At 40.3% G+C, this 17661-nt stretch overlaps 1 protein-coding gene across 9 annotated transcripts in view; it reads right to left on the bottom strand.

Annotated features, from left to right (window-relative positions):
* The window catches only part of TRIO (trio Rho guanine nucleotide exchange factor), a 366863-nt gene that overhangs the window by 308182 nt on the left and 41020 nt on the right, over window positions 1-17661 (bottom strand). The gene's annotated exons all lie outside the window — the stretch shown is intronic.

Raw genomic sequence — 17661 nt, 5'->3', positions numbered from 1 at the left:
TCATTTACATTAGGTATATCTCCTAATGCTATCCCTCCCCCCTCCCCCCACCCCACAACAGGCCCCGGTGTGTGATGTTCCCCTTTCTGTGTCCATGTGTTCTCATTGTTCAATTCCCACCTATGAGTGAGAACACGCAATTTTCAACTTTTTTCTTGAAACTGTCAAAGCCAAGTAAACATGACTGCCATTCAGGTCCACCTATTTCTTGGGGCCCAGATTTTTAATCATTTCTGTATTTTTGCTTTTATATAAATGTAGGCCTGTGACTCACAGACAACTTAGTTTTAAAAAGATGAACAATTTATTCAGAGTTAACAAATGAGCAGAACAAATTCATTAATATTTCCAAGTAAATCTGACTAAGTGAAGTAATTTTTACAATCTCTCCTTTGATCCAGATACAGGATCATCTTAGAACACAGCTTGCCTCCTACCCACCAGGAAAGTTTCTGTTATCAGAATAACTACACGTAATCCTCAAAGTTAACAATCGATGCTGCCAAATGCTCTTAAAACCACAGGATATGACCTTAGCAAAGCATTTCACTAAAAATGCTATGTATTTATCTGTAATTAACTAGTGTTGGAATTCCTACTTAAAAGTGTGTTTTAATTTTTTTTAAAAAGCTGCTATAACCAAGGTGTGATTTTAACTCATGTCGTACTTTATATATAAGGTAAAACAAGAAGCAGAATCTTCTTAAATTACTCTAAAAAATAGATGAGAACGTTTTATTTTTTATTTATTTTTTATTTTTTGAGATGGAGTTTCGCTCTTGTTGCCCAGGCTGGAGTGCAATGACACGATCTCGGCTCACTGCAACCTCTGCCTCCCGGGTTCAAGCGATTCTCCTGCCTCAGCCTCCCGAGTAGCTGGGATTACAGGAACGTGGCACAACGCCCGGCTAAAATTTTTGTGTTTTTAGTAGAGACGGAGTTTCTCCATGTTGGTCAGGCTGGTCTCAAACTCCTGACCTCAGGTGAACTGCCTGTCTCAGCCTCCCAAAGTGCTGGGTTACAGGCGTGAGCCACCGCGCCCAGCCGAGAATGTTTTCTTTTTATGTACTGTTATTTTTTAAAGAAAAATGATTTTTCTAAATCATTTAAACATGAAAATGGAATTTTTGGCTAACTTTGAAAACAGCAAAAACTCAGCTGTTTAACAAAAGAGAAGAAAAATTAACCCACTAAGCCAGTGATTTGTTTATATGCTTACGCTAAACAACAGCAGTAACCACATCAAAGCAGAAACTAAGAGTAGGAGTCGTATATTTCCATAAGTAGCTTTATTCTGCACTACGAACCAAAACAACATCAATGACTCCCTCCCTTACTGCACTTATATCTACCTTCACCAGCCACTCTACAGTTGTTAGGTCCTTTAATCTCTACTTGCAGGTTCAGTCCACCAATTTCCAGGTCAATCCAGGTCCAATGGGGGAAAATGCTAAACCCGATCCATTTATTCAACAAGTTATATACTGAATACTTACAATGCACCATCATGTATTAGACCCTAGGAGCACAGATGTGAATGACATTCAGTCCCTGCCTCCAAAAAGCATGCCTGTCTTACAGGGGAGACCAAAATTAAACATGTAATCAGCACAATTAGGATTCTGTTCAAGCGACAAGCGCAATTACAGACAAAGGACAGGATGGTGGAAAGCATCTGGGGGGACTTACATCATGGGCGCGGGCAGGAAGCCTTCTCTCTTGAGCAGGTGGCACTTAAGCACGACCTCAGGCTGGGGATTCACGGGGAAGGGAAGGGCCCTGAGAAGGATGGAGGCATATAATGGATGGCAGGGAGGGGAGGGGCAGGGCACGGCCACCTGGCTGAATGGCACAGTAAGCCAAGCCCCTAGTACATAATGCCTGGCACCCAGAGGACACTGCTGTCCTGGCTGGTTCTCTCACTCTCTTGCAGGGCAGAAGCCCAAGTATGAACCACTGTCTAGTTGCCAGGACACTAAGATCTCACAACCCTAGTATAGTCACTAGAAAACCAGCTGACGCTACTTCAGCCAGGCCTCCTAATCATAACCGTTGGCCTTGAACACTCCACATAGAGAATGCTGTCTATGTTCTCTCTTTTAAGTCTGTCTCGGCTCATTCTAACAGACCTGGCCCTGACCTCTCCTCCCCAACTCCCTGTCTTGGAATAGGTACAGCCTTACTTCCAACTGAAGAAACCATGGTCTGGCAATGGTCAGACCCAGGACAAGACAAATCTCAAGATGCCACCTGGAAATTAGGCTTGCTTCAAGGCCAGCAAAGCTTTGGTAGTAAATGCCATCATCCTATAAATCCCCTACTTTAGGATAAAAGGGGAGGGGGAAAGAAAGAGGAGAGGGGCAGGGAACAGAAAAAGGAGATGGTCATTAGGATGCAGAATGCCACAGGCCCAAGAAGCTTCTCTGCCATCCTCTCCATAAGCCCACTGATACCAGGAGCAGAGCTGATCCTTAGTGACAACAGTTTCTTCTTAGTACAAAAAGCTGGAACTTGTTTTACTGTTTGAAGGCAGCACATCCTTAAAATTTTCCAAGAACTAATAAGCTTAAGTCATTCAACAAAGAATATTTTCTTGAAAGCAAGATAACACAGCTTTGTGGCTTTTGAAAGAAAGCTACCATTCAAAAAATTATTTAGCAGTTCTGCATTAATAATCCAAAACCTCATGGTCCTGAATTTTTTTAAGCAAGGCAAATTCCATTAATATAAATACCTCACAACTGCCTTTAATGGAATCTAGAAATATGAATACTTAACACTTTGAGTTGCATTTTTAGGGAGGTTTTTTTTTTTTTTTTTTTTTTTTGAGTCCCACTCTGTTGCCCAGGCTGGAATGCAGCAGGTTCAAACAATTCTCCCATCTCAGCCTCCCAAGTAGCTGGGATTACAGGCACCTGCCATCATGCCTGGTTAATTTTTGTATTTTTGTAGAGACAGGGTTTCACCACGTTGGTCAGACTGGTCTTACACTCCTGACCTCAGGTGATTTGCCCACCTCAGCCTTCCAAAGTGCTGGGATTATAGACGTGAGCCACCGCACCCGGCCCAAGAGGTACTTTTAAGATAAGATTTTTCCATTGTTTTTAACAAACTCCAAGAAAATACATGCCTGGAAATGAACTATCTACAAGGAATTGAGTCAGATTGACAGAATAATTTTTAAAACTCTCTCTGGGGCAAGTACTTCCCAAGGCCATTTTGATTCTGGAGGTGCTCTCAGGTGATGGCTATAAGCAAAAGTGGCCCTTGAAGTTCAGCCCCTACAGTCACTATGGACTTGACTGGGCAACATCAAGGGGCTCAAGAGGTTCTAAGAATGAGGCTCAGGTTTACAGAGCCCAGTCAGAGTCTAATGCAAAGGCCCTCACACCTTACAGTACAATGTTAGCAAGGAAATCACCCAAGCAATGTTGCCAACCCAACTTCTTTCAATGCCCCAAATTCCCATCATTGCAGTTCCATATTAAGGTTTTCTTGTTGGTTCCAGAAGGTCTCAGTGAAATGTAATTATGTTAAATGAGAAAGTTAACACACATGTTAAATGAAAAGGTTGGACCAGATGATCTGAAATCTCTGCTCTTCAACCTCTAAAACTCTGATTGTATACTTAGTACAATTAAATGTTAGGCAGAGAGCAGGGCACAAGGGAACAGAAGATTGGGCAAAGATGCTTCACCACATCAAGAAGAATACAGACAGCAGAGAGAGGGAAATGGGCATGATACAGTGGCAGGTGAAAAACATCACATCACAAGATAGAATGTACAGTATAAACCAATTTTTATAAAATACATGCTATATGAAATCATTTATATTTATGGCTAAAACTCTATATATTTCAAAAACCTTAACAGTAAGAGTGGTAGGACTGTAGTGACTTTTCTTCTGTTTTCTAAATTTCTATGATGCATATTGTTGGTAGATAATTCTCCGTGGGTCTCTTGCAATTCTGTACATGATTTAAGCAGAGGCAATGACTATCTTTGTTCTGGACTATCATTACAAGGATATTTTTATAGTGAATAGACTTAGAGAATAGTGTCTTCCTCCAGAGCAAAGGGCAGGTATGCTTACAGACTTGGAAGACAGAGACAGCATCTCCCTTAAGAACAAAAAGCAGGCATGCTTGCAGTCCAGTATAAGAGATTCGGGTACCTTATATTCAGGGTTCCTTTCCTGCAATGCAACCCACTGTGTGTGCACAACTGGCCTTCTGCAAGTCGCTCTGTGAGAATCAGGGCTTGAAGAACTGGTGCAAAAAACAAATGCTGATATCATGACTACTGTTACCACTGTGAATAATAAAGTCCTCTGTCTGACCCAGGAGTCTCATGTCTTTTGCTAGCAAACTAAGGCAGGTTAACCTAGCTTGCAAATAGAGTAAAGAAGCTCAGACCCTTCATAGTTCTTGGCAAATAACTACTACTGTTGCCATATGAGATGCTTATAATTGGCTAGAGACAGTTCTGACTGCTTGCAACCAAAAGCCCTGACTAATGATATGACTGCTTTAAAAATCAGAGTATTTAAAAATAAGAAGAAGACAAGAAAAGAGAGGGATACAGATCAAGAGAAGACCCATCTCCACAAGATAGCCTGGACAGGGTAAAGAGCATTCTCATTTTTCCTGCACTCCTGCTGTGAGAAAGGCTCTGCGACTGGGGCTGAGGACGGAGCTGGGGATAAGACAGACAGGAAGCACCTCGATACACACTTTATGTAATTACCACCACAGCAGGCACAACAAATCAGTATCTGGTGCTCAGAGGGGAGGACAGCCCAGGGGACTCACAGCAAGTCACAGGGGCGGGGAAAGCTTCCTTGGCAATCTACAGATAGCACTTAGTCGTGCCCAAGTAGATTTTTTTCTTCTGGCAGGCATGTCTTGATTCCAGAGAAAGTTCACAAGTTTAAACAGCACAAATTTATCAGGCCTCCATTCTTCCAATCCAACGATGTTTTTTACAAGTATAGAATAACAGTGTAATTACGCATTGAACACCAGGCAGTAATCACAGCACTCCACAGCTATGGTCTACCAAGAAATCAATTTAGACTCACCTGAAGTTGTTAATCATCCAGCATGGCCAAATGGCCTTTGATAATTTTCGGATATAAAATTTTGGAACATGACTCATCGAATGGCATATGCAAATTTAAGCTAAAGGATCTTTAAAACTTCATTCAGTATCTGGTCATTAGAAGGCAGTTAACAAACAAAACATTATTAAGAATTTTCTAAGAACACTGGACTCAGAGCCAGAACATCTATCTGCTCAATTAACTCTGTGACTTTGGGCAAGTAACCTAACTTCGCAGGCACCAGGTGCCTCATCTGTCTTAAGAAACGGGGAGAGCACAGGTTATAATGTAATGACTTCCCAGCTTCTGAAGGTAGAATAATGATTTCAAGTCATGGGATCAGTATTTAGTGACAGTGCTCCATTTCACATATGATGTGTGCTGGAAAACATGAATGCTCTCAAATGACAGGTGCAAAACACAAGATAGTCTCAGTCAGTCTTAGAGGTACGTGATTTCCACCACTCACAGCAAATCCTTTTTTTTTTTTTTTTTTTGAGACGGAGTCTGGCTCTGTTGCCCAGGCTGGAGTGCAGTGGTGTGATCTCAGCTCACTGCAATCTCCACCTCCTGGATTCAAGCGATTCTCCTGCCTCAGCCTCCCGAGTAGCTGGGATTACAGGAGCACGCCACCACGCCCAGCTAATTTTTGTATTTTTAGTAGAGAGGGGGTTTTCACCATGTTGGCCAGGCCGGTCTCACACTCCTGATCTCAGGTGATCCACCCCGTCTCAGCCTCCCAAAGTTCTGGAATTACAGACATGAGCCACCATGCCTAGCCTCACAACAAATCTTTGCAATGTTTTTAAAAAGCCTTTCTTCCTTGATATAAATAATACATGTGCTAGATGGCTGATTTTTTTCCAGAAAAACAAATTAGAATAACCAGTAATCCCACAACCCAAAGGCAACCATCATAAACATTTAAATAATGCTCAGTTTTTAAAATTTATACAAATACAGATATGGAGAAAAAGCTGGATAAAATCTAGTAAAACAATCCACAACTGCGCCTCTCCCCACCCCCACACTGAAAGAGAACAGACAAAAAAAATAAGCAAGGGCTTGGAAAAAGACAGGACCAGGCACAGCCTGAACTGTCCCCGCTGGCCAGCCTGGAACAATCGGAGCAATCCAGTCAATCATGATAATAACAGATCACAATCAGCAGAATCAAATAAGGACCCATGAGCCTGTTCTGAACAATTAAGTCAATGAGAAGGGAAAGCTCTTCCTTACAGTAGGACTTAAACTACAAAAGTGGAATAAGCGGAAGAATTTAAAAATTACCATTTGACGAACACCACACTAGCAACTGGTTCAGGCAAAAATCATGAATGAGTACAAAATTAATGGGTAAAAGTGTGATGAGGAATAAGATATTTACATACTTTCACAGAGAATCTCAAGACACTTCATTACAAAGAAAAAAGTTATCAATTTGACAATGGAGTTGGCGGACACCATCTTAACTATGTGACCAAAGTTTATGTCATCACCCATAGGACAGGCATATCAACACCTTGCCTGACAAAATGCACAGAGAGCACAATACCACCCTTCAGTAGTATTCCCACCCACATCACAAGGAAATACCACACAAATCCAAATCAAGGGTCGTTCAGCAAACTTGCTAGAATTAACTAGATTGTATTCTTCAAAACTGTGAAGGTCCTGATTGACAGACTGAATAGCTCTTCCAGACTAAAAAAGACTAAAGAGGGCTGCAATTAAATGCAACGTGTGCTCCTGGAATGGATACTGCACGAAATAGAGAACATTAATGGGCACCTGGCAAGATCTGAATAAAGTCTGTAAATTAGATAACAGCATTGAATGAATGTGGTATTCCCAATTTTCATCATTTTACTTCCAGAAGAGAATGTCCTTGGTTTAAAAAAAAAAATACACTGAAATATTTAAAGGTAAAAGAAGTATTATGTCTGCCTTAATTATAAATGTTTCAGAAAAAAAAAGTTTATCTAGGTGATACATGTGCAAATACAGAAAGAAGGGTATAAGTGGTATAACAAACGGCAAAATATTAACATGTAAGATATCTGGGTAAAAGGTATATAGAAATCTTTGTGTAATTTTTGTAACCATTTTTAAGTCTGAAATTGTTTCAAAATTAAAAGACGTATGCATATATGTGTGTATGTGGTTACCTTTCTGTAAAAATAAATACAGACTTAAATCATTATCTACAAAGGCTATACACTATTCCTCTATTAAACATACCACAAAGCAGCATTACCAACTTTGCCACTGGCAATGACTAAATATTCAGAGATATGCCTCTGTATACTGTTTATTTCAGCAGAATTCCTGGAATAACATCCCACCCTTGAAACATGGATTTCACTGAATTTCAAAAGCTAAGTTACTAGCTAGATATCTAGAGATATCCAGCAACCTAACATTTAACTTAAAAACAAATCAAGTCCTCAAATCCTTCACCCTTCTCCACCTCTTCACCTAATGGAGCACCTGTATAACAATAAAGAAAGAAAACAATTATTATAAAACCTTTTATACTGCCAACAAGAGATCACATAATACGAGCCTTATGTACTTTATTTCCATTTAAAAACTTTACAGAGAAAAAGAGAGCAGAAATACAAAAGAAAACAATCTACTCCCACCTGCTTACATATTTAGACATCAAGTTGTAAGACAAAATAATATGAATCCGATCAATGTATAAAACTACATGCCAGGAAGTAGTAAAAAGACAGCTCTTTTTTTAAAGGAACTTCTATAGGTAGACAGGTACCGAGTAATGGGTACAATTTGACAATGCAGGGATATTCAACATTTGAGTGGACAGAAGCTATGTCTATGTCCCCGAACCTGAAGAAGACTCACTGCATGGAGGGTTTGGACAGGCCACGACAACTGCTGATGGGATGAGCTTCCTTGCTGAGAATACTGAAAAACTACCGGGAAGATAAGACAGACTACTGAGTCTAGTGAAAGGAGCAGGTAAGGACTTCAGGGCAGAGTCTGTACCAGGCACACGAACACACAGTAAACGGTCACTGTTATCTACAGTAAGGTCAGCATCCTCATCATCATTGCCATCATGTGTAATATTTTTGGAGGCTATAAGAATGTATGTGAGGTCTTATTCTCCAGTTTCGCGTAAATTAGTCACATAAATGTATCTGGAAATAATCAAAGGAAGTGTTCAATGAGATACTCTCTGACAGCTGACTTTGCAGAGACCTAAAAAACAAAAATGGACATGAACTGTTTGAACATTTGCCAACCACATGGCTGCCTAACTGGTTACAAAACATTTTCTAGAGGATATATAGTGACTTACCCCTTGTTTTTGACCCTAAGAATGAGATGACGGAATGATTCCATTACTTGAAAACACTATTTTGAACATAAAAAACTAGCCAGCTTTAGAATACACACCAGCACTTCAATAAAAGGAAACAGGTTAATGTTTATGTTTTCATATTTTTAAAGTAAAACTAAACAGAAAATATGGTCAATTTATTAGTTACAAGGAGATAAAATTAAATTCCACTAATCCTCAAATAAGCATTTAAATTTAGTAAAATATCCTTGCAGTATTTTATCTGTATATGTGTGCCCACAGGTACGTTTTTCCTAAAACAAAAAATGAATACAAATAATAATACTGCTTTTTAATTGCCTGATTTACTTATTTATAGTGAATATCCTTTTGTGTCACGATATATTGCTTCAGTATTACTCTACTACACATATTTTAATAACTGCATCACACAATAAATATTAATTCAAAACTGTTACTACCAGAAACTGCATGGCAACACAGATTTTCAGACAATCTTCCAAATCTGAACTCTCATAATTACAGTAATTATCAACATATCTGAGTTTCTTCCCAGCAGGGTCTCCACTTCATTCCAGCCAACAAGAGAAAGCTTTCTAAAATATCGTTTTCCAAATTTCATAAGCTGTTAAGAACAATGCCATATATGGCATTTTTCCTTTACTGTAATCACTCTTATTAACTTCAAAGTAAACTATGACTTGCAAAGTAATCATTTCCAACTTGTAAATCATCATAAAAATTAACAGACACCACACTAAAGATTTAAGAATTTTTTATTTTAAGGGCAGTCCAAATTCAACTCTGAGGCTACGTAATGTCTATACAGAATTTTAATACAATAGCAACCCAGAGTAAGTCAGTGAGTTAATGTACTCCACTTATTAAGCAGACCTTCCTCTCTTGTATTCTTGACCTGTAAATGTTCAAAGACATTTGTTTAGGGAGTAAGTAGGGTCCCATTATATTCTTTTTATCAACTGCCTTATAGGCACCTGTTATCCCAGAATACTGATATTATTAATAGCATTCCCTCTCATTCTTAAAAATATGGTGAGAGGCCGAAGCGGGAGGATCACTTGAGCCCAGGGACTCGAGACCAACCTGGGCAATATAGTGAGACCTTGTCTCTACAAAAAATTTAAAGAATTACCTGGGCGTGCATCCACTACAGGTGGACATACACCTGTAGTCCCAGCTACTCAGGAGGCTGAGGTGGGAGGATCACTTAAGCCCAGGAGGTAGAAGTTGCAGTGGGCCAAGATTACACCTCTGCATCCCACCCTGGGCGACAGAGCAAGACTCTGTTCTTGGGGGAAAAAAAAAAAGAAGAAGGAAAAAAAAGGGAATAAAGTAAGAGTTTGTAAAATAAATAATTTGGAAACCTCCTTGGCGTCCAAGAAGTTGCTGGGGGCACTTCTTTTATACTGGAATGAGATAATGTATATATGGCTCAATGCAATCTGTATTATTGTCATCATTATTGCCATTGCCATTACTAATGCTAGATATATTCTTCTTTACAACACAATCAATGCAACTACATTATCTCCTGGATATTAGATACATGATTCTTTCTGAATTCCTTTTATTTTTCTTCACATCTTTGATATGCCAACATCTCCTAATTTGTCTGGTATAAAAAAGAAAAATAGAAAACATTAAACAATAAATGAGCCATTTAGAGTTGTTATTGAATACAAAAAGGTTAATCAACAAAATCAGAGTTTTATGGTGAAGGAGCAGAGCCACTAGGTTCAGGAAGACAATTTATTAAGAACCACAAGAAGTCTTTACTAATAATTATCTTTTCCAGTCTGCGATTTTCCTGACTGGCTGTGGCTTACTTCTCTAAGTTCTGATTACTGTCAACTTCAGTATCAGAATTAACTTCCCTATTCACTTTACCTATGATTTTAATCTTCTCTAAGAAAATATCATAAATTACATTCCATATGTTAATGATGAAAATAAGTGGACAGTTTGCTGTGCCCATTCTAAAAACAGGAATAGAAGATGTACTACTACTACCACTTTTTTTTTTTTTTTTTTTTAAAGAAACAGGGTCTTACTCTGTCACCCAGGCTGGAGTGTATGGAGTGACGTAACTGGGACTAAAGGCATGTGCCACCACGGCCAGCTAAATATTTTCATTTTTTTGTAGCGATAGAGTCTAGCTATGCTACCCAGGCTGGTCTTAAACTCCTGACCCCAAGCAATCCTCCTGCCTCAGCCTCCCAAAGCACTAGGATTACAAGTGCAGCCACTGTGCCTGGCCTTTACTTCTTATTAATTCCTAGAAAAATCACTTAAAGGCTTGTGAATATAGAATGCTACATACACATACACATTTATATATACGTACTCCAACTAGGTCATATTGGTCTTTTTGAGACAAAACATCAGAACTTTAATATATCAGCCTTGACCCACTAGGTAGGAACCAGACCCAGCCATGCAATGAACAGGGGCTGCTGGTCAACACAGTGCGAGCCACCATGTCCCATGTCCCTCCCACTGAGGTCTGCGGGTCACAGCAGAGGCTGTGGTATTCCTCCTGCAGCTGCCCCTTTGGAGAACACGCTGCGCTAGTTATTAATTATAATATACATATCAATCTCAGGGGAGAGTGTCATTACCTAATGCATGAGGGAAATCGGAGAAGTGCTTGTGTGGATACAAACTGATTAAATGGCTATCCGTTATCTGGCTTTCTTTTTAAAAGCCACAGGTGTCAGATGAAGGGGTGTGTGTGTATATTTGTCCTGAGATACTTCTGAGGTGATCATAACAGCCATTCACTTCTTTTTGAGGTGGATTTTTTTTTAATTTAGTCAGCTCTTTTAAGACAGGACAGCATGGTATTTGCAAAGGACCAGAAGCTCTACAAGTCACTGCCCCAGTCATATGAGTCTGTCTTTAAGTGAATAAGGGGCAGTCGGAGAAGACAACTTAAAGCATTCTTTATACAGACATTTCATGAGCCTGAATCATTTAAACAGGGCAGGAACGGCCACAAGCATGACGCTTCCACGGCACCAAATGCACTCTCCTCAGACTGACTCAGATTTCTGCACTCTCCTCAGACTGACTCAGATTTCTTTACAGGAATAGACTTATCTCGCACACACATATTTTGTAAATGATCTCTTATGCACAAAGGGGTTCACCAAAAATAGTTTTCAGTATCTGCATATGTGGTTGATTTTTCTGGATTTTTTCTTTTCTTTTTCAGATTGTCTGAGTTTGCTGTTAGCTCTGTCATCACCTCAGCCTTCCTTGCACAAAGACTCCTGACTCACTGAATGGCTGTGCCGCTAGCTGGACTGCCTGCCCCTGTAGTCCACCCTCTTGCCTGGCACCGCACAAGCAGTGGCCAGTGGGGATTGAGGAAGCAATTCCTTTGGAATAGATTTCTCTCCCTCTATTCAAAAACTAGTAGCCTCTACTAGATGGAACCTGTAACTTTCCATCTCTATAGACCCACTTACAATCTCCTGTGCAAACCAGCTCTGTTGACTAAAAAAAGGTCAACTGTCTGTGCCAGATATGAATGATCTGAAGATATGCCGGGCATGGTAGCTCACACCTGTAATCCCAGCACTTTGGGAAGGCCAGGTGGGAGGAGTGCTTGAGCCCAGGAGTTTGAGACCTGCCTGGACAACACAGCAAGACCCCATCTCTACAAAAAATAAAAAATTAGCTGGGCATGGTGGGATGCGCCTATAGTTCCAGCTCCTGGGGAGGCTGAGACAGGTTGAGCCCAGGATGCAAAGGCTGCAGTAAGTTACGATCAGGCCACTGCACTCCAGCCTGGGCAACACAGCAAGACCTCACCCCATCTTGAAAAAAAAAAAAAAGTTAAAACGAAGACATTCAGAACAGCAGCTCCTCAGCTCTCAGCAATCCCAAATGAGCTACAGACCTTTTTAAGGCTTAGACTGGCAGAAACAGTACTAAATACGTTTCTAAGTGCATGAAAATAAACGACACTCACGTGTGAATTTATCCAGTGCCTTGGTCATATATGTACAACCTAAGATGAGAATTATCCAACACATTCTCCCAGGCCACACATTTACTTTATGATAAAAAGGAACTGCTGTTATTTGTATTTGGGGGGATTAACCCTTCTTTCCGCCCTCCTCAATCCAATTCTACAGAAATACTAGGTGTTTCAAAGGTGATGAAAATTTCAAAAACATCTCACTTGTATTTAGGCTAGTGATTTCATTCAAAATTTGATAATAAATATAGCATTCAAGGTATTAAGTACTTCATCAAACCATGGGGACAGGAGCATCAAAGTGTTACATGTATTCAAAAGTGGACAGATGCTCCAAGTACAGGACAGTCAGGTACCAATATCCTCATTAAAGCTTAGGCTTAGTGTAGGATAACATATAGATACATTTTTACAATACTACTACAATATTTTAAAGCTCAAATATTAAAAATAGAAATAAATACAATTAAAAAGCAATGTGATTCCTTAACGCTTATACCAAACTGGCAATTTGTATGAGTTTTTCAAGAGAGAGCCATGGCCAAACCTGTAACATCTGTGGTAAAAACTCAAGACCAACATTTAAGAATTACTCATGGAAAAACATTTTCACTACAATGAACCAAAGCTCAACTGCTAAAAACATAGTTAATGTGCACACAAGTGTATGGGCTTCTGAAAGTATTCATATGCTAGTATTTCGACTTGAACTACATCACCATATTCTCCCCACCCAAAAGTTCCCAGGCTAAAAGGCAAGAAACTACACTAAAAACCATGGAATTCAATGCGCGGGACAAACCTGGAAATTAATGAAGAATTATAGTGGGAAAGCTGAAAAGCATCAATGGGTCAAAGAGGAAAACTGTACAGAACCAAAACTTATGATTGGCATGCTTATCTTTCTCCTGGTCTTTTACAATCTTTATTTGTAAGGTTATCAGCAACAGTGCAGGGGAAAACAATGAAAATAAGGAAAGAAAAATCATTCAAAAATAGAAACACTTTGCATAACTTTAGTATGTATAAGGCATTGAAAATAAACCCACGGGGCTAATTTCATCAGTCATATAAAAGACAAATTGTGTTAAATTATACTCATGTCTACTATATGATTTAGTTAACAACAGTTATAGCGAAGTGGTTAAGAGAATGGGCCAAGAACTAGGTTCAAACCACCCCATCCCTTAACTAACTCTGTACTTTGGGCTACTTAACCAATCTCTCTGTACCTCAGTTTCCTCATCTGTAAAATGGAGAAAATATTACACTTATTAAATAATACAGGCAATGAGAACAATACATGGCAGCATTGGCACTCAAGGACAGTTAGCTGGCATCATAATTATTCTAAGATCACTTGAAAACCACATCACAAAATATTCAGCCCAGAACTCCAACAAGTACATGATTTGTCCTTTCCACAAAAAATGGTTTTCAAAATTTTAATTTTAGGTAAACTGGCAGATGTGACAAATAAAACACCAGCAGATATTATAAAATCTGTGTTCACTATTCAAAAGTTACAGCTCATCTTGAAGGTGTTCTAGTCTAACTCCTCGGCTGGCAAGGAGAAAAGCAAAGACATCCGGGTTTCCCATCAGCACATTTAATACAGCAGGGTCTGCTTCTCACGCAATAAAGATTGGCTCGGTGACAGAACAAATAAAAACTTCAGTGACAAAACACATTTATCCCCATAAGAAAGCCCTTTCTCCTATTATGTTAATAATTCCTTCCTCCCCTCCCATAAGTCTCATTTTGTCATTGTTTTGTAAACAAATACATTACTTTAATAATGAGGAAACTCCACAGAACGCAACACCTAAATAACAATAATCACTTAAAAGTACTTCACATAAAATAAACATTCATATCACCTTTTACTTAATTGGACTTTTATGTGGCATCTACTTAAAAATGCACATGTCAAATCTTGTTAGAAATATTCGCTTTTGCTCTTGAGTTCAAAAATCTACAAACAGAAGAAATAGAACTTACTTAGATTAAATAGGATGGCCTGTGGCTGTTAGACCCACTCCTCGGTACAATGGTTTTCAAAAACAGAGTCAAAGGTACTGACTGAGAGTCAATTATGGGGGAGATGTCATGTTAAGGACTGCAGGGAATAAAAATAAAGCCCACAACACAGATGTTTACAATTTCTCGGTAATACAGAAAGACTGGCAATTCTCTCTGTACCTTAAGAGTCCCAGCCATCAAAAACACAAAACAAAACAACAAAAACCATCTAGCAACTTCTGCTTTTCCGTAAAAATCCTTATCTCCCATTAACTGTTGGCTGGGCATTAGATCTGTAGTCCTTGTTAATGCTATATACTACATTTTGAAACAGTGGAGTGGGGAAAAAGTATAATACATTTTAGTACTTATCAACTTTTTGCAGTTGACACTATAATTAGACACGTAAGAGAGACCAGAACCGACATTCCCTAAAATACTAGCATCAGGTTCTGGTTCATCGCTTTAGGCTGCCTTGGACAAGTAACTTCTTCATCACACGACTTCTCCACATTTACATATCTTGGTATTACCAAGCCCTCACGCCCTATCTAATTTGCACAAATATTACTAAACATTAATATAACGTTATCCACCATGGGAACAGGATATTGGTTCACACTAGCATGACAAAATCATGTGGCATTGTGCCCAAGAGTCTCAATCATTAGAAATTGATCACTAGCCAGGCGTGGTGGCTCATGCCTTTTATCCCAGCATTTTGGGAGGCCGAGACAGGTGGATCACCTTAAGTCAGGAGTACGAGACCAGCCTGGCCAACATGGTGAAACCTCATCTCTACTAAAAATACAAAAATCAGCCAGGTGTGGTGGCATGCACCTATAATCCCAACTACTTAGGAGGCTGAGGCAAGAGAATCGCTTGAACCAGGGGGGCAGAGGCTGCAGTGAGCCAAGACTGCACCACTGCACTCCAGCCTGGGCAACACAGTGAGACTACACCTCAAAAAAAAAAGAAAGAAGGAAATTGGTCACTAATGTGCAAACGACAGGCCGACTCATTCAGAAATGAATGCAAGAAACCCCATGCCTCTGTGCAGGTAAGGCTGTCTGTCCCTGCCCACCCACCACAGCAACTCAAAGAAGGCAGCAACCAGAAAGGTTCCATCGGGGCCTTTCACTTCCATTTCCAATGAGTCCAAATTTAGACCGTGCTCTGGAACAAAGTGGAAAAACTATCTTGAAGCATGTTTTTGGAGTTCTTTAATATCCACTGGATGACTCACAGTTATGCATCATAGAGGCCAGGTACTTTTATTTCTATAAAAGGAATATGTTTGAGAGTTGGGAAGGCCAGCCTAGAGCTCAAAAGCCTGGTGATCAGGCTAGAAAAACAAGGGAGAAACTGGCTGTCTCCAGCTCAGGCAAAGTGGTTTTAAGGACCAAAAGCTGGTTTAAAATGTCACACTTGAGTTTACAATTTATTTTCCAGCATAGTCCCATGAATCTAGTCAACATCTAAATACTACTCAGTAGTGCTAATTGGGTGTACCTCTTAAAAGTCTGTTTAACAAGCTATTCAAAACACTCTGGTCCCCAGCTGCCTAGGAAAATATTCTGAAAACATTTACTAGGGCACAACTAGGAATCGGCCTTTTGCACAGTTCTTCACTGGCGGAGGTACTCAAAATTGCAAAACAGTCTTCTCCAATTGGAAGATGAAAAACTCCACACTCCTCACCCCACCCCATGTCCACCACCCATAACTAGACTATCCCTGGGTAAGATCTGAGAAGCTCCAGTGAGTCACCAAGGACTCACATTTGTCCATTTCACTTTACAAATGAGAGAAATCAACCCGTCTGTAAGAGGGGCAAGCCAAGTCTGAATGTCACTCACCCACCACGTTCCTAGCAACTTAGCCTTTTTTCCCTCTGTCTTCTCCCAATCATTTTCACTCATCCTTCAGCCCCTCCCCACCCTTTCCTAGGCATTTGGCCTGAGAAGAGCTGCCCCAGTTTCTCCCTGCTCTTCAGCCAGGAGCCATCTCTGCCTAAGTGCAGGCAGGGGCAGGTGGCAAGGGATCCAGCCAGCTCCAGTGCGTGTGTGGCCAGTCTGGGCCTGGGAGCCTGCTCAGAGCCAGCAGACGTGCTGTGGCTGCCATGTTTAACAACTATGCTGGGCACGTTTTTCATCACAGCTATGCAAAGGGTGCCCACCCCAGTTAGGCCCAGGAAGAACTGTGCTATTCATGTTTTTAAGTATTCACCATTCAGTCTGCATCAGGAGTTTTCAGGATTCAATTTGGGTGAAAGAAAATAGGACCAAGTGCTTCTGTAATCCTCCAGAACTTTCACTGTTCTGGTTTCAAGGGTGAGAACACCCACTATTAGCCTTTAGAAGAAACAAGAAGGAAAGGAGAGAGAGAATGGTGGTGGGGGGCGGGGAAGGGGGGCGAATTTTATGGGGGAAGTGGAAAGGCCCAGATGTTCAGGATTGAAAATCACTGAAAATAACTAAAATGCCTTTGAGATGTGGCAGTCCACATAAGTTTTAGGGAAATCCTAAAACTGTCCATGAGTCATGGACGACTGAGATGGACCCGAATAAGGAGGTATTGGTGACGTCCACCCAAGCCTGGCACCAAGTATGCTGCTCCAAGGAGGAGCCCGATTTTGGGTTAGGAGTGAGAACACTAAACGTGATTAATGAGCAGTAGGACTGCCCTCGTGCATTAGATTAGAGTACAGACGCCAGGAGGGAAGCACAGCAGTGGCTGTAGGGCACCAACCCCGCAACCGCACTGGACCCAAGAGGCGTCCACGCTCACACCCACTAACCTAACTTCATTTTTTTTCTGAAACACCAAGAACTAACTACATAGGCTATGTACTGGAAAGAAACATACTAGAACAAGTGTTTTACATTAAGACTTTGTATCAGGAGCATTTAAAAGATGCTGAGATGCGCTCTTTCCTCTAAGAATATGTGGTGTTCATATGAAAACATAAACAATTAGCAAGGGAAATTAGACTCGTCCATAGCAATGAAGTCCTGAATTACACTAGAGGCTAATATAAAGAAAATGCAAACACTTTTCCAGTCCACTGAAGCTTTATAGTTTGCTCAGTATTATTTTCTAAAAACATATGTTCAAAGTCTCAATAACATTGCCAAGTGCCTTTAGTAGAGTGCAGGGCACGTTGCAGAAGGGAAGCTGTGATCCCATGGCTGTACAG

The sequence above is a fragment of the Homo sapiens genome, chromosome 5, assembly GCF_000001405.40.
Source record: "Homo sapiens chromosome 5, GRCh38.p14 Primary Assembly".
NCBI lineage: Eukaryota > Metazoa > Chordata > Mammalia > Primates > Hominidae > Homo > Homo sapiens.
The sequence above is the reverse complement of the archived record's forward strand: the minus strand, read 5'-3'. Positions and strand labels throughout refer to the sequence as shown.